General features: G+C 43.0%; 2 protein-coding genes across 5 annotated transcripts in view; one reads left to right on the forward strand and one right to left on the reverse strand.

Moving 5' to 3' along the window:
- LAMC2 (laminin subunit gamma 2) overlaps positions 1-16,567 on the forward strand; it is a 72,705-nt gene extending 56,138 nt beyond the window's left edge. Inside the window, exons 23-24 of one of the 3 annotated variants that reach the window (XM_047420358.1) lie at positions 15,708-15,734; positions 16,321-16,567. In XM_047420358.1, coding sequence (XP_047276314.1) covers positions 15,708-15,734; positions 16,321-16,541 — 248 coding nt within the window. In that variant the 3' untranslated portion in view covers positions 16,542-16,567. Of the gene's footprint in view, positions 1-745; positions 2,727-15,707; positions 15,735-16,320 lie in introns of those variants that run through there. The other 2 variants (XM_047420361.1, NM_005562.3) reach the window with 2 other exon arrangements.
- NMNAT2 (nicotinamide nucleotide adenylyltransferase 2) overlaps positions 5,836-19,731 on the reverse strand; it is a 170,144-nt gene continuing 156,248 nt past the window's right edge. For both annotated transcript variants that reach the window (NM_015039.4, NM_170706.4), the window contains exons 9-11: positions 18,801-18,902; positions 18,601-18,668; positions 5,836-10,342 (exon numbers count right to left, since the gene is read on the reverse strand). In NM_015039.4, coding sequence (NP_055854.1) covers positions 10,240-10,342; positions 18,601-18,668; positions 18,801-18,902 — 273 coding nt within the window. In that variant the 3' untranslated portion in view covers positions 5,836-10,239. The remainder of the gene's footprint in view (positions 10,343-18,600; positions 18,669-18,800; positions 18,903-19,731) is intronic.

Consider the following 19,731-nt stretch of genomic DNA (forward strand, 5'->3'; position numbering starts at 1 on the left):
ATGTGAGGCAACTTGACCTTGAGTTCGAATTGACCAAGGCCACTCAAACCTATTTGAACTAAATGGGTCTGGCCAGGTACCCTTCATACTGACATTAGTTTTAGATAGTCTAAGGGTAACACATGCTTGAACAAACGTGATTTTATTTTAAATTGGAAATAAAATAACATCTAGTCAGATGACTGCTGTTTCAGGCTGGAATGATGTCTGACATCAATTTCTAGCAGCTGGAATCCATTCCCCAAGTGGCAAAGCGTACCTTGGCCTCTATAACCCTGAAGCTCAGCCAGTTTCTTAAGGTCTTCTAATAGAAAACAGCAAGATATTTCTTAAGGGTGGTTCAGAAAGCATAATTTGGAGTTGATTCTAATCCTAGCAGTGACCTATGTTAGGCAAATGCCTTGGATAGTGCTCAGTCCCCTATGACCTTCAGTCCTCTTTTTTTTTTTTTTCATAGCATAAACTATTGACCTTAACACGAAAGGAAAACTCCAGACATCACGTTGCTGAACTAGATAGCTCAGAGTCTTGAACAGTGTTGTTCATAGCCCAGTAAATAGGCTAGCCCTCTCAGAACTCTTTCTAGGTGATTTCTAATTTAAAATAAGCTTTAAAATTCATGGTATACTATTTGCTCTAGGCAAGTGGAAATGGGAATTAGTTATGGGTATAGAAGGGCACGGGTGTTCAAGGAGATCTAACTACAGCTTTTCTATGTTAACTTGTGTCTCATTCCTTGAAATAGACCAGCCTCTCAGTGTAGATGAAGAGGGGCTGGTCTTACTGGAGCAGAAGCTTTCCCGAGCCAAGACCCAGATCAACAGCCAACTGCGGCCCATGATGTCAGAGCTGGAAGAGAGGGCACGTCAGCAGAGGGGCCACCTCCATTTGCTGGAGACAAGCATAGATGGGATTCTGGCTGATGTGAAGAACTTGGAGAACATTAGGGACAACCTGCCCCCAGGCTGCTACAATACCCAGGCTCTTGAGCAACAGTGAAGCTGCCATAAATATTTCTCAACTGAGGTTCTTGGGATACAGATCTCAGGGCTCGGGAGCCATGTCATGTGAGTGGGTGGGATGGGGACATTTGAACATGTTTAATGGGTATGCTCAGGTCAACTGACCTGACCCCATTCCTGATCCCATGGCCAGGTGGTTGTCTTATTGCACCATACTCCTTGCTTCCTGATGCTGGGCAATGAGGCAGATAGCACTGGGTGTGAGAATGATCAAGGATCTGGACCCCAAAGAATAGACTGGATGGAAAGACAAACTGCACAGGCAGATGTTTGCCTCATAATAGTCGTAAGTGGAGTCCTGGAATTTGGACAAGTGCTGTTGGGATATAGTCAACTTATTCTTTGAGTAATGTGACTAAAGGAAAAAACTTTGACTTTGCCCAGGCATGAAATTCTTCCTAATGTCAGAACAGAGTGCAACCCAGTCACACTGTGGCCAGTAAAATACTATTGCCTCATATTGTCCTCTGCAAGCTTCTTGCTGATCAGAGTTCCTCCTACTTACAACCCAGGGTGTGAACATGTTCTCCATTTTCAAGCTGGAAGAAGTGAGCAGTGTTGGAGTGAGGACCTGTAAGGCAGGCCCATTCAGAGCTATGGTGCTTGCTGGTGCCTGCCACCTTCAAGTTCTGGACCTGGGCATGACATCCTTTCTTTTAATGATGCCATGGCAACTTAGAGATTGCATTTTTATTAAAGCATTTCCTACCAGCAAAGCAAATGTTGGGAAAGTATTTACTTTTTCGGTTTCAAAGTGATAGAAAAGTGTGGCTTGGGCATTGAAAGAGGTAAAATTCTCTAGATTTATTAGTCCTAATTCAATCCTACTTTTCGAACACCAAAAATGATGCGCATCAATGTATTTTATCTTATTTTCTCAATCTCCTCTCTCTTTCCTCCACCCATAATAAGAGAATGTTCCTACTCACACTTCAGCTGGGTCACATCCATCCCTCCATTCATCCTTCCATCCATCTTTCCATCCATTACCTCCATCCATCCTTCCAACATATATTTATTGAGTACCTACTGTGTGCCAGGGGCTGGTGGGACAGTGGTGACATAGTCTCTGCCCTCATAGAGTTGATTGTCTAGTGAGGAAGACAAGCATTTTTAAAAAATAAATTTAAACTTACAAACTTTGTTTGTCACAAGTGGTGTTTATTGCAATAACCGCTTGGTTTGCAACCTCTTTGCTCAACAGAACATATGTTGCAAGACCCTCCCATGGGGGCACTTGAGTTTTGGCAAGGCTGACAGAGCTCTGGGTTGTGCACATTTCTTTGCATTCCAGCTGTCACTCTGTGCCTTTCTACAACTGATTGCAACAGACTGTTGAGTTATGATAACACCAGTGGGAATTGCTGGAGGAACCAGAGGCACTTCCACCTTGGCTGGGAAGACTATGGTGCTGCCTTGCTTCTGTATTTCCTTGGATTTTCCTGAAAGTGTTTTTAAATAAAGAACAATTGTTAGATGCCTGGGGTCAGTTTCTGATTTACTAAACTCTAAGCCTATGATGGTACCAAAGTAATGGAAATGAAAATGCCACAGAAATGGCAATAGGTCCTAGAGTTAGCATCTTCAGTTCCCACTTCTGAGCATCTTACTTCGCCCATTCCAACCATACAGGATTGATGATGCTGTCAATGAGATTTTTATGAGGTTTAACTGATGCTGTCTTCTAAGCATAAAGCTTTATTTCTAGAAAAACTCTAGCTGGGTGGGGGGGATATAGTTAATATTCTTATCTTTTTCATCAGCTATAAAATGAAGGTAAAATTAATAGTTTGTGGTGCATATGTCATGCTTTTTAAGAAGTTAAAATGTACTAAATTAAGATCTTGAATTGGTCATCTACGCAAGCGGCTGAGGAAACAATTCTGCTTCTGTCCATTGACCCCCAGATTCTGATAGGTCTGGTCACTTTGCTTTACCTTCTGTGAAAATGAATTTGTAATCCTGTCTTGGCATACCCAATTACACATTCTACAGATCTCTTGCTATAATTAACGACCAGTGCCCAGACTCCACAGTCATTTCAGAGGCCCTGCCATTTACATGTGACTTCTAAGGTTGCCTGGGGGATGGAGGGTTGTGGCCATTCCAGCTGGTTGTCACCAGCTGATGGAAAGAGAAAAGAACATGGAGGAAGGATACACAGGAAAGCCAGGCTTGGGAGGGCCTCACGTGCCATGGTCCAAAACCCAGCAAAACAATCACATCTGCCATGCAAAGGGGTCTGGAAGATGTAGTCCTTTGTTAGGATGCCACTTCACAGTGACAATTCTACATTATGAAAGGAGAAAATGCATTGTCGGTGATTGGCTGTCTCTTCCAAGTGTAAGATTAGACAGTACATGTTCTAGGAAACTTGGTGAGGGATCCCATTAGTTAATAACCACGGTATGTGTAATCATATAAGGATTCTTCAATGGAATAGATTGTTTTAAAAGTCGTAAGAGGCTGGGCGCGGTGGCTCATGCCGGTAATCCCAGCACTTTGGAAGGCCGAAATGGGCGGATCACGAGGTCAAGAGATTGAGACCATCCTTACTAACATGGTGAAACCCCGTCTCTACTAAAAATACAAAAAAATTAGCCGGGCGTGATGGCGGGCGCTTGTAATCCCAGCTACTTGAGAGGCTGAGGCAGGAGAATGGCGTGAACCTGGGAGGTGGAGCTTGCAGTGAGCCAAGCTCATGCCACTGCTCTCCAGCCAGGGTGACAGAGCAAGACTCCGTCTCAAAAAAAAAAAAAAAAAAGGTCGTAAGACTGTCTTCCCTGACAAATGGGAGATGATACCTGAGGAGAGATGGGGAGTAGAAAAATGACTTATGGTACTTCCCTTGATGTACAAATAATTCTCTCATTTCTAAGGACCTGAAAAGTTATCCCTTAGAAGAGAGAAGGGGATGTGGCTTCCCCAGGATCTAGCCTCATGTTGTCAGTCCTTAACCTGACGCTGCCAAGATAAGGAAGCTTTCCTTCTGATTTTTCGTCAGTATTAGTAGTTCATAGTGAAAGCTTTCTTGCACTTCTCCTCTGAGAGTTTATGGTTAATTATGCTGTTGGTAAGCTATTACAAATGTCATCATCTACTTTAACTGTTAGGGACCTCTGTTTGGAGAAAGGGGTGGAAATGAAACTGCCCATAGACTATAACTTCTTAGCAGATGTATTTCTGGTCTTCTCCAAGGATGTGGTTTCTTTTCAGTACTCTCCAGTACTTCTCTCAGCCTCTTGGGAGGCTGGAGAAAAGGATAAGAAGATGCTTAGTAATATTCAATGTTTTGAACAAGTCTCAAGGACCAGGAATGTGTTTATTGTGCCTTCTTTTAATGTTTTGCATGGTAATGGGAATGTTATGGATTCTTGCTGTGGTTCAATTTTCCCACCTGGAGAACATAGATTAGAATTTTTCTCTCCCTTCTTCATACTATTGGCTACATGGAACTTTCTAAGAAATCCAAAGATCCAAAGCTTACATATAGGTCATAAGGGAAGAAATGTGTATGTGCACATATGTTAATTCATATTTAGTATATATATTTTATAAGTTAGCAAACTAAACCAGTGTTTATATTTCACTTTAAATGAGCTCTTGGCTGAATGTGGTGGCTCACGCCTGTAATCCCAGCACTTTGGGAGGCCAAGGCAGGCAGATCACCTGAGGTCTGGAGTTTGAGACCAGCCAACTCCAACATGGCGAAACCCTGTCTCTACTAAAAATACAAAAATTAACTGCGCATGGTGGCAGGCGCCTGTAATCCCAGTTACTCTAGAGCCTGAGGCAGGAGAATCACTTGAACCCCGGAGGCTGATGTTGCAGTGAACCGAGATCGCGCCATTGCACTCCAGTGTGGGCGACAAGAGCGAAACTCTGTCTCGAAACAAAACAAAACAAAAACAAAACTCAAAGCAAAGAAATGAGATTTCATCATTATGTACTCTCAGGACAAGGAAAAAAAGGCAGTGTTTAGCTTTGTGAACAAAATAGCAAATGTAAACACGAGTGATCAATTTACAAGCATATCAAGCATCATTATGATGTGCCACAAAACCCACACGGATGTACACAAAGCTGCCACATCTCAATTTTAAGCCAAAAAAAAAAAAAAAGATAAAAGAAAAAAATACGAAGAACCCCAAGAACCAAATGATTCATTTAAAAAAATAAATCTGATAAACAAACAGCTAATCCTTCAATGAGCCAGCCTAATAGGGAATTACTGTTTCACCTTCTGAATCATATCTGATAATTAGCTAATGGCAATCACCATTCACACCTAACCCAATATAGGGTGTGTGATATGACTGAAGGTGAAATAAGAACTGATAATCACAGCAGGATTGAACAGTTAACAAATTGTTCACTTTTGCTTGTTTACATTGCCAAAGCAAATTGCGAGTTTAACAAGTTCTGTTTTAGTTAAGATCTTTCAAGCTAAAAAGTTGTTCAAGTTTTTCATTTTCACAAATATAATTTTATTTCATAAAATACTAATTTCATTGAGGAGCCAAAGTTAACCAACACTGGACTATGCAAATTAGTCAAGATGTAAGATTTAATGTTTCAAAACTAAGAAAACGGAGGCACAATTTACAAATTTGCTAATTATTCTTCCCTTTATCATCCTTGGATGTGGCTGTACATACTTTTATATAACACATGTGGCATCAGCTGAACCAGGCAGGAAACTGCTTGTTCTAAGTACATTTTTACAACTGTTGTCTCCTGTCAAGTAAAATTATGAAGAAAAAGTGATTAATGCTGCAATTCACAGAGAAAGTTCTTGACCAAGACACAAGACTCTTGTAGCATTGTCTTATTTATTAACATAATTGAAACATTTTGCATAAAACTCTTGCCCATGACTATTCTAGCAACAAAATTGTACTCAAAATATTTCACTGTGAAATGGTATTGCAACTTGAATATCATTTTTTATTAATGAATTGATTTCCATAAAGCAAATCTTACTCTTAAAATGGCAGATTATGTGATCAAAAAGCGATTCAAAAAAGCTTCCCCCTCCTCATGCCAACCCTCAAGACCATGTGGATCCAGCTGAATCCTCAGCCCTGGGACTAGACTAAGGTTGAGGGAAAGAGCCGTTAACTCATTCCTAACCAGAACAGGCTAATAGGACACTCCAAACTCACACTACAAAGAGACCACATGAACAGTCGAGTGTGCTGGGCAGCTATAAGATGGTGCAGACTGGATGAATTTGGCAGAGCATATTCATCACCATTACTACAATGCTATTCCTAAGGTGTCCTAATTGTATGAGCTACAAAATCGGTCCCTGTTTCCATTCTTCCCATCTCACCTGTTGGCCCTCCTGCAGTAGGTAGCCTTGGGAGAGATCCTGAGCTTTTCATATTCTACCGTTTTATTTTTGCATTACTGTTTGGATGAGTAAAATGTAATAACATGCTTCTCTCTCTTAGTCCCCTAAAAGAGTGTGTGTGTGTGTGTGTGTGTGTGTGTGTGTGTGTGTGTGTCAGTTTGAGGAGAGTAGAATTGGGCTGGTAAGTACAAGTTTTTTCTCCCTGTAATTCTCTGCCTTTTGCTGTAGTTCAGTTATTATTGAGTCTCACTTTCTACTTAATTTGAACAGCAAGTTCTTTAATTCTTTCTGAGAAGCTGGAGCTTGAAACTAGAGAACATTGTTGAAAGGCTGGCCAAGCTGAGACAGGAAGAACGGCGTCTCTAGAAGCTCTAGCTTTGGGTTTCAGGCACTTCAGTAAGAGACTTTCCCCCTTGTTCCTATGTACATTCAAGGAAAATGAAAGCAAGAAGGCTCTAGAGGCTGCCTGGGGTTGGGGGTGTGTGACTGAGGTACCCACTAGCAGCACAGCCCTCCCAGAGGACCATTCCTTAAGGACAGAGTTATTGACAAAAAGGGTTTTCCTTCTGCCTGTTCTTACATCAGCCACTTTCAGAAAAATGGGAGAGACATTTTTTGCTGGTGAACAGGAAACAAAGCTCCAGACCCCTCTGGACATGATTGTTCCAGTCCATGCCTTTCTCACAACCTCTGAGCCATGCCAGTCTTGGATTGGGCTTTGCAGGAAGGAACAGGACCCCAGAGACAAAGTCGGGGGGTAGAGGTTATCCTGTTGGCACCTGGGGCACCACTTCAGACTCTGAATCATCTTTCTGGTATTGACTGTGGCTGGGTCATGGTCACAATGTCCTGTCCTGGATTTAGTTGTGCTGTGACCTTCCCCTAGCAAATGAAGAGTAGGGCGTGTGTGTGTGTGTGTGTGTGTGTGTGTGTGTGTGTGTGTGTGTGTGTGTTTGGGGGGTAGGGGGTGCGGCGATGGGAATGGATGATTCTATCCAAAAGAAGATTCACTTTCTTTTTATATTAAATAGGAAACCTGTTTTTAGTACAGTGCCTGTAATCCACAAAGATAAGATCTGCCCCACTTCATTCCTAGAAATCTACTTCTATGGCACCTGTTCTTTGTCTTAATTCATCTCACTTTCCCTCCCCACTCCCACATGCTTTCGGACTGCATGCTGAGAGTGCAGAACCAGCCTCATTCCTTCTCATGGGCTGTAGACCAAATGGGGCTTGACCAGAGCAGAGTGACAGAGTGGACCAAGAAACAAAAGAAATCGAGCCTTCCTCAGGTCTGCTCACGTGGGTCCCATAAATTCCATCCATAACTCCAAGTCCTTAAACAAGCCATGTTTCCCCAGGAAATTCAGGCACCTGTTTTCCTTTGTTTCATTTCCTGGCTTATGACTGTTCTGCCTGGACAAGGCTGTTCCATCTTTCGCTCTCCAGCAATAGCATCATCCTGAGCACTCTGTGGGTCTTCCTTCACCTTCCACAAAGCAACTCTTTCTTGGATTGATGGAGTCCGCTTCTGGGATTTCTTCCAAGCTGCTGAGATCTCTTTATTTCTAAAGGAAACCTAACAGTGGCCTTCCTTACTATCACACCCTCCCCTGGGACTGGCATTACCATCCTATGTGTGGAGAGCACCTGGGACAGATATAATTTAAAAGAAAGATGCCAGGGTAAGGCTTGGGAAGTGTAGAAATCATATGGGCACCTGGTCAGCAACATGAGGAAATGGAGGGTGTGGTGTGACGGCCTAGGGGTCAGGGAAACAATATGTTCTTGTCAGGCCCTACACCTGCTGGCTGACCTGGACCAGCCATTTAATCCCATGGGCCTCTGCTCCCTCAACTTTTAAAGGAAAGTGTTGGATCAACTGAACTCTAAAGTTTTTTTCAGTTTATTATTTCATGATCCCTAGTCAAACACTGATACCCCAAAATAGGATTTTCCTTCCTTCCTCTGAAGATTATTTCAAAAAATCCAAGAGGAATAACAGACTTTCTGGATGCTGCTCTACCATGTTCTTCTGTTAAATCAAGTTCCTTTTCCCGCAATTGAAGGATGTTGCAGATGTGAAACGTGTGGTAAAGAACATTGTCTTTGCTTTCAGGTCCCACCTGGCCCTTTCTGGCCGTAGCTGGTACTAGATTTTGATAAAAGTATCCTAATACTCAGGGACTATTTCTCAAAGACCAGAATCCCAAGAGCCAGAGACTGGATGAGAGACACAAAGCACAAGACAGCAATTTCCTTATGGCTCTCCAAGCAGGACACGCATGAGACCCTAGTAACCAGAAGCAAAGCTGGCAAAACTGTCTGCAGGAACAGAGAGGAAGGTAGAAAATTAGAGAAAAAAGGAGTGAAGCAACTTAGTGGCTCCTGACCCCTCCCAGATCTCCCTTCTGGGAACCCACTCCCCTATTAGGGAGATTTTCTCAGACAGTTCCTGCAGCTCCCAGGCTCTGCAGGGGCTAGAACCAACCACAGAAACAAGACCAAGGCACTGCTTCTCAAGAAGAAACTGACCTCATGCACTGTCTGAGTTACCTCAGCTAGAGAGGGTGAAAATCATCAGTTATCATCAGGGCAACAAATTGCTTTCTCCTAGTTCATCCTGGACTTACAATATGAAAGAGACATTTCCCAGCCCAACAGACAATACATAATTCCAATTAGCAAAGACCTCCAGGGTTGAGTGGACTCCTAGTGTTTTTTTGTTTTGTTTTGTTTTTTTATGACACGACTGCACGATGTGGATCTGGTCCTGCCTATGTGGTTGTTCTCAGGTACAGGAATGTGTCTAAGCATGGCCTCCAAAGGTCCCTTGGAAACCCCTGGCTGGTAGGGAACCCGCACTGTGCCATCAGCTACAGTCCACAAAGGTAAATGAACAGATGCCACCAGGAAATGAGGATGGACTGGCTCTGTGTGATCATAAGCTCAGAGCATCAGGGAAATGGTCATTTGAAACTAAGAAAACAGATTCAAATTATTCTGAGAAAACCGACTATTCACAGACTCGTGTCCCAGGTTTCAGAACCCGAAAATCTCACTCCTGATCAAAGGTTGCTGCTGCTGCTGCTGCTGCTGCTACTGCTATATGTGTGTGTGTATGTGCGTGCGCGGGTGCACACGCATGTGTGCGTGTGTGTGTGTGTGCGTGTGTGTGGTGCTGAAGAAGTGGAGGTTGCTTGGCCTTCTCTACTGGGTGTGGCCCTGATGAACTCACTGAGTGCTGAGGCTGGCTACAATGTCCTATCAGAGGGGAAGTAATACCACAGGAGCACATCAAGACTACAAACATAAAGAACCATGGACACTGATTTCATCCAAGTTCTACAGGGAGTGAACAAAGAAAAATAAATAAACAAAAGAAAGAAAAGAAAAATAGCCCTTTGTAGTAAAGGGCATGCTGGGAAGGCAAGAGCCAGAGCCGCCTCCCCAGAGCATGCTGGGAGGAGGGGCACCAGAGCCGCCTCTCTAGAGCATGCTGGGAGGATGGGCACCAGAGCCGCCTCCCCAGAGCGTGCTGGGAGGATGGGCACCAGAGCCGCCTCTCTAGAGCATGCTGGGAGACGGACACCAGTACATCTCCAAGGACTGCACTTCCCCCGACTCCCACCCCATTCCCTCACCCACCCCCAACCCGGAGACTAGAGGAAAGTCTGTCCAAAGATGACTGTGGAATAGGGAATGCCATGGTTCTCTGCAGGTCCCCCACACTATGGGGGGTTAAGTCAGCAAGTAGGGAAAACAGTCAAGACGAGGAGATGGAGAAACAGAGAGGCAGGAGAGAAACAGGGGGCTGACAAAGATGGAGGGGCCATTGTGTTGCCGGAGGACGAGGGGCTGCTAGCCGGAGGCATTGATGTACAGCTGGCTTTTGAGGATGTAGTCGATGACCGGCTGGGACAGGTAATCCACAACATGGCCGTCCCCATGCTGCAGGGCCAGCCTGCACAAGAAGAGATGACAATCAGATGGACATCCACACCCAAAGCAAGTCAGGAGGACTGGCATGCCCCTGTCTCCCCAGCACCCCATTTGTAGCCTTTTCTCAGGTTGAGTAAATAGTTCTGTATTAGGAAAGGCCCTCTTGCCTCCACAACTCCTTCCCCACCTTGGTGACATCATTCATCGTGGTTCTGCCACTTCCTAGGTGAGAGGCCTTGGGAAAGTTATTTAAGCCCCTCTGTTCTTCAGTTTTTTTCCTGTAAAATGAGGGTAATATCTGGGCCCCTCTCATTTAGTTATTCAAAGGATTAAATGAGTCATTATGCAAAGCACTTAGAAGAGTGCCAGACACACAGTGGGCATCTAATGTATTCACTATTCTTTTTTCTCAAATAAATTGTATTGTGTATATTTAAGTCATACAATCTGATGTTGTAAGATACACATATATTATCATCATATAATATAGTATATCTATGTTATATTACATATTTATTATATATTTTATAATTTATATATTATACTATATTATATTATTTATATAATAGTGTTAATATTATATTATATTATATTATTTATATAAGTGTTAATATTATATTATTTATATAATATAGTTTAATGGTTACTGTAGTGGACCAAATTAATATTCATATATCCATCATCTCACTCAGATATGTATTTGTTCTTCTTGTGGCGAGAATAGCTATAATCTACTAATTTAGCAAAAACCCTAAATATAATACACTATTATTAGCTGTCATCCTCATGTCACACATTAGATCTTTCAACTTGTTTGTCCTACATATTTGCTACTTTGTATCCTTTGACCTGTATCTCACCACTTTCTGCCCTCCACACTTGACCCTGGTAATCATGTTTTATTCTCTATCTGTATGTTTAAGATTCCATATATATTCCTACATATTTGCTGCTTTGTATCCTTTGATCTATATCTCCCCACTTTCAGCCCTCCACACTTGACCCTGGTAATCATTGTTTTATTCTCTATCTGTGTATTTAAGATTCCACATATAAGTGAAATCATGCAATATTTTTATTTCTGTGTCTGGCTTATGTCACTTGGCAGAATGTCTTCCAGGTCTAGCCAAGTTGTGGCAAGTGGTAGGATCTCCTTTTTTAAGTCGAATAATGTTCCACTTCCGTGTGTGTGTGTGTGTGTGTGTGTGTGTGTGTGTGTGTGTATGTGTGTGTGTAAGAACACATTTTCTTTATCTATTCATCCATTGATGGACGTCTAGGTTGTTTCCACATCTTGGCTACTGTGAATAATGCTACAATGAACTTGGAAATGCAGATACCTTTACAAGGTGGTGATTTCATTTTCTTTGGGTATATACCCAGAAGAGGGATTGCTGGGTCATATGACAGTTCCGTTTTTAATCTCTTTAGGAACCTCTATTCTGTTTTCTATAACGGTTGTACCAATCTACATTCCCACCAACAGTGTACAAGGGTTCCCTTTCTCCACACCCTCATCGACATTTGTTATCTCTTATCTTTTTGATAATAGCTATTCTAATAGGTGTGAGGTAGAATCTCATAATGCCTTTAATTTTTATTTCCCTGGTGATTAGTAATGTTGCGCATCTTTTTATGCACCTGTTAGCAATTTTTATGTCATCTCTGGAGAGATGTCTACTCAAATCTTCTGGTGTTTTGTTTGTTTGTTTGTTTGTTTGTTTGCTTTTTGAGAGAGACAGGGTCTCACTCTGTTGCCCAGGCTGGAGTGCAGTAGTGAGTCATGGCTCACTGGAGCCTCAAACTCCTGGGCTCAAGCAATCCTCCTGCCTCAGCCTCTCAAGCAGCTAAGACTTCAGGCACATGCTACCATGCCTGGCTAATTTTTTTTTGGTGGGAAGGGGTAAGGATAGAGACAGGGTCTCACTATGTCTGGAACTCCTGGCCTCAGGCAATCTTTCCACCTCAGCCTCCCAGCGTGCTGGGATTATAGGTATGAGCCATCACACTGTGCCCCTTTGCCCAGTTTTTAGTTGAGTAATATGTTTTCTTGCTATTTTGAGTTGTGTAAGTTCTTTATAAATCTTGGATATTAATCCCTATCTGATATATGATTTGAAAATATTTTTTCTCAATCCCTAGGTTGCCTTTTCATTTTGTTGGTTGTTTCCTTTGCTGTACAGAAGCTTTTTAGTTTGAAGTCCCATTTATTTATTTATTTGCTTTTGTAGCCTGTGCTTTCAGTGTGGCATCCAAGACATAATTGCCAAGACCAATGTCAAGGAGATTTTCCTTTATGTTTTCTTCTGTTTTTGTTTACTGTTTCAGATCTTACACTTAGGTTCTTTATCCATTTTGAGCTGATTTTTGTGACTGGTGTGAGATAAGGTCCAATTTCATTCTTTTGCCTGTAGAAATCCAGTTTTTCCAGCACCATCTATTGAAGAGACTGTCCTCTCTTTATTGTGCTTTTTTGGTACCTTTGTCAAAAATCAGTTGACCATATATGTTTGAATTTATTTCTGGGCTCACTATTCGGTTCCACTGCTCTATGTGTCTGCTTTTATGCCAGTACCATACTGTTTTGATTACTACAGCTTTGTAATATAATTTTAAATGAAGAAGTGTGATGCCTCCAACTTTTTTTTTCTCATAATTGCTTTGGCTATTCAGGGTCTTTTGCAGTTCTGAGCACATTTTAGGGTTGATTTTTCTATTTCTGTGAAGTATGAATGCTGCCATTGGGATTTTGATAGGTATTTCATTAAATCTTTATATTTCTTTAGGTAGCATGGACATTTTAGCAATATTAACTTTTCTGATCCATGAGCATGAAATACTTTTCATTTATTTGTGTTGTCTTCAATTTCTTTTGTCCATGTTTTATATATACTCCAGTGTACAGATTTTTCACTTCCTTTGTTAAATTTATTCCTAAGGGTTTTTTTTTTTTTTTTTTTCAGACAGAGTCTCACTCTGTCACCCAGGCAGGCATGCAATGGTGTGATCTTGACTCACTGCAACCTCAGCCTCCTGGGTTCAAGTGATTCTCCTACCTCGGCCTCCCGAGTAGCTCGGATTACAGGCACAAGCCACAATGCCCAGCTAATTTTTGTATTTCTGTTAGAGACAGGGTTTCACCATATTGGCCAGACTGGTCTCTAACTCCTAACCTCAAGTGATCCACCTGCCTCCGCCTCCCAAAGTGCTGGGATTATAGGTGTGAGCCACCGTGCCTGGCTGTCTAACTGCTATTGATAGTACTTTCAGTACTTTGCTGAATGGAAGTGGGAATAGTGGGCATTCTTGCTTTATATCAGGTCTTAGAGGAAAAGCTTTCATTTTCTCCCCATTGATTATAATGTTAGCTGTGGGTTTTTTAAAAAAAATAAAATAAATTGCCTTGCCGGGAGTGGTGGCTCACGCGTGTAATCCCAGCACTTTGGGAGGCTGAGGCAGGCAGATCACGAGGTCAGGCGTTCGAGCCCAGTCTGGCCAACATAGCGAAACCCTGTCTCTACCAAAAATACACAAAAAATTAGCTGGGCATGGTAGTGTGTGCCTGTAATCCCAGCTACTTAGGAGGCTGAGGCAGGAGAATCACGTGAACCCAGGAGGCGGAGGTTGCAGTGAGCAGAGATTGTGCCACTGCACTCCAGCCTGGGTGACAGAACCAGACTCCATCTCAAAAAAAATAATAAAAAAATTAAAAAATTTAAAAAATGGCCTTCGTTATGTTGAGAAACTTTCCTTCTATATTTAAACTGTTAAGAATCTTTATCAAGAAAGGATGTTGAACTTTGTCCAATGCTTTATCTGCATCAATTGATATGGTCATGTGGTTTTATCTTTCAGTCTATTTATGTGATGTATCACACTGACTGATTTGCATATGTTAAACCAGCCTTGTGTGCCAGGGATAAATCCTACTTGATCATCATGTATAAGCTTCATGTTGTGTTGTTGAATTCAATTTGCTAATGTTTTATTGAGGACTTTTACATCAATGCTCATCAGAAATATTGGCCTACAGTTTTCTTTTCTTGTGGTGTCTTTTTTTTTCTGTTGCCCAGGCTGGAGTGCAGCAGCGCATGATCTCAGTTCACTGCAACCTCTGCCTTCTGGGTTCAAGTGATTCTTCTGCCTCAGCCTCCCAAGTAGCTGGGATTACAGTCACGTGCCACCATGCCTGGATAATTTTTGTATTTTTAGTAGAGATGGGGTTTAACCATATTAGCCAGACTCATCTTGAACTCCTGACCTCAAGTGATCGATCTGCCTTGGCCTCCCAAAGTGCTAGGATTACAGGCATGAGCCACTGTGCCTGGCCTCTTTGGTGTCTTTATCTGGCTTAGGTATCAAAGGCGATGCTGGCCTCGTAGAATGTGCTAGGAGGTATTCCTTCCAGCTGTATTTCTTTGAAGAGTTTAAAATGTATAGGCCAGGCGTAGTGGTTCATGCCTGTAATACCAGCACTTTGGGAGGCCGAGGTGGGTGGATCACAAGCTCAGGAGTTCAAGACCAGCCTGGCCAACATAGTAAAACCCTGTCTCTACCAAAAATACAAAAATTAGCTGGGTGTGGTGGCAGGCACCTGTAATCCCAGCTACTTGGGAGGCTGAGGCAGGAGAATCACTTGAACCCGGGACGCGGAGGTTGCAGTGAGCCAAGATCACGCTATTGCACTCCAGCCTGGGCGACAGAGTGAGACTCTGTCTAAAAAAAGAAGTATTGGTATTAATTATTCTTTGAAAATTTGGTAGAATTCAGCTCTGAAGTCATCTGGTCCTGGGCTTTTCTTTGTTGGGAAGTTTTTAATTACTACTTCAATCTATTTGTTATTGGTCTGTTCAGGCTATTCCTGATTCAATCTTGCCAGATTATCTTTTTAAAGGAATTTATCCCTGCCCTCTAGGTTACCAAATTTGTTTGCATATAATTGTTCATAATAATTCCTTATGATCCATCTTATTTCTGAGACATCTGTTATAATGTCTACACTTTCATTTCTGATTTTATATATTTGAGTCTTTTTTTCAGTCTAGATAAAGGTTTGTCAATTTTGTTTTTTTTTTTCAAAAAACCAACTCTTCATTTTATTAATTTTTTCTATGGTTTTTCTATTCTCTATTTAGTTTTGCTCTAATCTTTATTATTTCCTTCCTTTGGGTTTAGTTTGTTCTTCTTTTTCTAGTTCCTTAAGGCATAATGCTAGGCAATTTATTTGGGGTCTTTCTTCTGTTTTAATGGGAGCAATTATTGTTAGAAGCTTTCCTCTTAGAACTATCCTTAGTTTATCCTTTTGGGTTCCTCTGCATGCTGGCCTCAAGAGTATGAATTCTCTTCCAGGGATTTTTGGGATTCACTGCATCTTTTCCTTCCTACAGGAGCCCATGGAGGAGAGGCACCAACAGGTATAAAGGACTCCAGTGACACATTTTGGCTTCTGCACAGTTTTTTTCCAGCCTTGGTCTGCCTACTTCCTGTTCTCTCCTAACACAATAGTCTAGGTGTCAGACCCAAACGAACTATTTGTAAAAATTCATATACGCCTCCACATACGTAGATTCTAAAAGGCATCTGAGCCCTGCCTGTGAGATCTCACTGGAGACCAGCTCACTGCCTTTCAATGCATGCACTGCCCTTGAAACCACCTTTGCAAAATTATGACTGAGGCAGTGAAAGAGATCTAACTTAACCGACTCCATCTTGCTTCTAACCTCCAAGCTGTCCTTGTTCCTGGTGTAGGCTGAACTAACTTCAGGAGAAACTTAGTTTATAGTTTATAGTTTGGGAGAAACTTAGTTTATAGTTTAAAAAAGAGGACAACAGCCCTTTCCCAAAGCAGACCTCCTTCTTGCCTAGGGACTAGATTGACTTTGTAGGACTAACATTAGCCACAAGGTTAGAAATTACGGTTTAGGAGTCATGCAGCTGAAGGCTACAAGATCTGACCCTCCCTAAACTGCTCCTAAGATCAGTGTTTGCAATATTTTGTAGACCCTGCACTTGATGGACCAGCTGGCACCACCCAGATCAATAAACTGGCTTATTTGAATTTGCGGCCCCCCACCCAGGAACTGACTCAGTGCAAGAAGACAGCTTCGACTCCCTGTGATTTCATCTCTGACCAATCCGCACTCCTGGCTCACTGGCTTCCCCAACCCATGAAGTTTTCCTTAAAAACTCTGCTCCCGAAATGCTCAGGGAGACTGATTTGATAACAATAAAACTCTGGTCTCCCGCACAGCCGGCTCTGCGTGAATTACTCTTTCTCTATTGCAATTCCCCTGTCTTGATGAATCTGCTCTGTCTAGGCAGCGAGCAAGGTGAACCCCTTGGGTGGTTACACCCTGACCTTGCAAGCTAGGTCCCTAAGTGCCTCCTCACATAGTTTTTGAAAAAGTGTGTATACCTGTGGCTCTGAAGCAGATTCCTAAGCCCACCCCCCATATATTCTGACTCAGTGGGACTGGGCAGGACACAGGAATTTGTACTGTTGTGTAACTCTGCATGGCGACTCTAATGTGCAGCCATGTTTGGAACCACATGCTGCCCCTCTCCGCTTATTGCCCATTGCTTCTGCCCTCACCTCACAGTGGATGTTACCCTTGTGAGTGTCTCTGTAATTGCCTTCCAGGGAAGAAGGCAATTACTTTTTAAAGTCCTGGTCTCATTTGATTTCTCTGAAAGATGTGACACAGATGGCAATGCTCTCCATCTTTGTCCCCTCTCTCACCTTGGCTTCTGGGCCACCACTGCCGGTGGTCCAGTGGTTTCTAACTGCCTTTTAACTTTCTATTAAATGCTAAAATGTTTGCAATGTTCCCCATAGTCTTCTCTTCTTGACTCTTTCTGTGAGCTTGTCCACACCTATAATTTTTTTGTGTGTGTGTGTGATGGGGTCTCACTCTGTCACCCAGGCTGAAGTGCAGTGGCGCGATCTCGGCTCACTGCAAGCTCTGCCTCCCGGGTTCAAGCAATTCTCCTGCCTCAGTCTCCCGAGTAGCTGGGACTACAGGCGGCTGCCACCACGCCCGGCTGATTTTTTGTATTTTTAGTGGAGACGGGGTTTCACCGTGTTAGCCAGGATGGTCTCGATCTCCTGACCTCGTGATCCACCTGCCTCGGACTCCCAAAGTGCTGGGATTACAGGTGTGAGCCACTGCGCCCGGCCTGTCCACACCTAGAATTTTAACTGACACTTACGTGTTCGTGGCTTTCAGTTTTACACTTCTAAGCCTCTATATTCCGTGTATTTCACCATTCCACTCAACATTTCCACTTTGGGTTTGTGGTAGAAACTGGTAACTGGCCCCTAATACCCATTCTTTCCTTCTTTGGGTTAGTAATAGAGCATCCTGAGTTTTATCTGGGCATGTGGCTGCCTAGCTACAAAGTCTATTTCCCAGCCGTCCTCCACCCTTGAGCCAGTGTGATGCAAAGGGAAGTGGTATGCGCAACTCTGGGTCACCTTAAAGACAAAGCTTCTTGCCATGGGCTTCACTTTGCCTTTTTCCACTGGCTGAGAAGAGCCACTGTTGCAGCAGCTGTGCACCCAGAGATGGAAGCTTCATATGGATGAGGCCATAGATTCCATCTTTGACTTCAGTAAGAGGGAACTAAACATCTAACATTTAAAATTCTGAATATTGGAATTTTTTTTGTTTTGGCAGCTTAGCCTGTACCCTTGTCAAATATTATTCCATAAGTACCTCCAACTAGAGTCCACAACTGAAAACACCCTGTTCTCCCCTTTAAAGCATCTAAGACTAGCTAATGGACTGTCCTCCCTTTTAAAAGTAAATGGCTGGGGCCGGGCACAGTGGCTCACACCTGTATTCTCAGCACTTTGGGAGGCCGAGGTGGGCAGATCACTTGAGGTCAGGAGTTCGAGACCAGCCTGGCCAAAATGGTGAAATCCCCATCTCTACTAAAAATACAAAAATTAGCTGGGCATAGTAGCATGTGCCTATAATCCCAGCTACTCGGGAGGCAGAGGTAGGAGAATTGCTTGAACCCAGGAGGCGGGGGTTGCAGTGAGCTGAGATTGCGCCATTGAACTCCAGCCTGGGCAACAAGAGTGAGACGCTGTCTCAAAAAAAAAAAAAAAAAAAAAAATGTAAAATGGCTGTGAACAAATGAGGTCCAAACAGGAAGCTAAACACCAGGGCAGCAGATGTCTGCCTGAATCTTAGGGTCATCTTTGATGGAGGAAATTTATGTGGAGACTTATAAGACAGTTTGACTAAAGTCTCTCTGGCCATTTGTCAAACATACCTGCTCTTGGTTGAGCTGACAACAGACATGGGATGGTTGATGTCATCCTTCACCACCATGATGTTGTTCTGAGGACAGAGCAGACAGAGTCAGTTGCCAGTCCCTCCCACTAAACTCCTTTTGCTCTCTCACTCCTCCAGCTGCCAGGACTCTCAGAGAAGGGCCATAACACAGATGCACTAGCAGGATGGAGGACTCACTTTGTATTTGCGGAGTATTGAGGAGTGATTCATGATTCGGTCTGTGTCGGCTGCATCCCGGGGCACCACCACAATCCCAAAGTCACCAACAATCACCTCCATCTAAAGAAACAGAGAGAGGGCCCTTTGGTGAAACCCTGATCCCAAACTCCTACCAAGCAACTACTTAGCATGGCAGAATCCGCTTCCATTCTTCCACATGGAGCCCCAAGCTTTAGTCCCAAACCGGCCTTCTTCTCAGCCCCATCAGCCAGCTCCTTCAAGGAACAACACTTAACAGTGTTAATAGAATAAGTGAAAGCATTGACTGGTCACAGAAGTCGCTTAATAAATACCCTAGACTTAAGGAATCAGTGAACTCTTATATGTCTGGGCAAGATCTCTCCAATTCCTGAGGCTCCCGTTAAGTTCACAATGCTGCAGAATCACATGAATGACATTGCGTCCTTACCTGGTAAACACCCTCTGGAGTGAAACAGATCCCTCTGTTCAGCAAGCACATTTGAGCCCTCAGATGGACGTCATGAGAGGGACTAAATGCTCTTCTGGCTCACCCTCATAAAAACTTCTGTGGGACTCAAGGGGTAGCTAAAAGCTAGAACTAGAAGTTCTTGGAATGCATCACTGGGCACCCAGGCTGTGATAGGGAGATGATGATGATGATTAGGGTCACTTCAGAGATCAGCCTTTGATAGAAGCTCAGTGCCATGTGAGAAATGAAATTTTTTTTTTTTCTTTTTTTGAGGCATGGTCTCAGTCTGTCACCCAGGCTGGAGTGCAGTGGCAAGATCATGGCTCACTGTAGCCTCAACCTCCTGGTCTCAAGCAATCTTCCCACCTCAGCCTCCCAAATAGCTGATACCACAGGTACATACTACCATACCTGGCTAACTTTTTTAATTATTTTTTTGAAGAGATGGACTCTTGCTAT

Source organism: Homo sapiens, chromosome 1 (genome assembly GCF_000001405.40).
Source record: "Homo sapiens chromosome 1, GRCh38.p14 Primary Assembly".
NCBI lineage: Eukaryota > Metazoa > Chordata > Mammalia > Primates > Hominidae > Homo > Homo sapiens.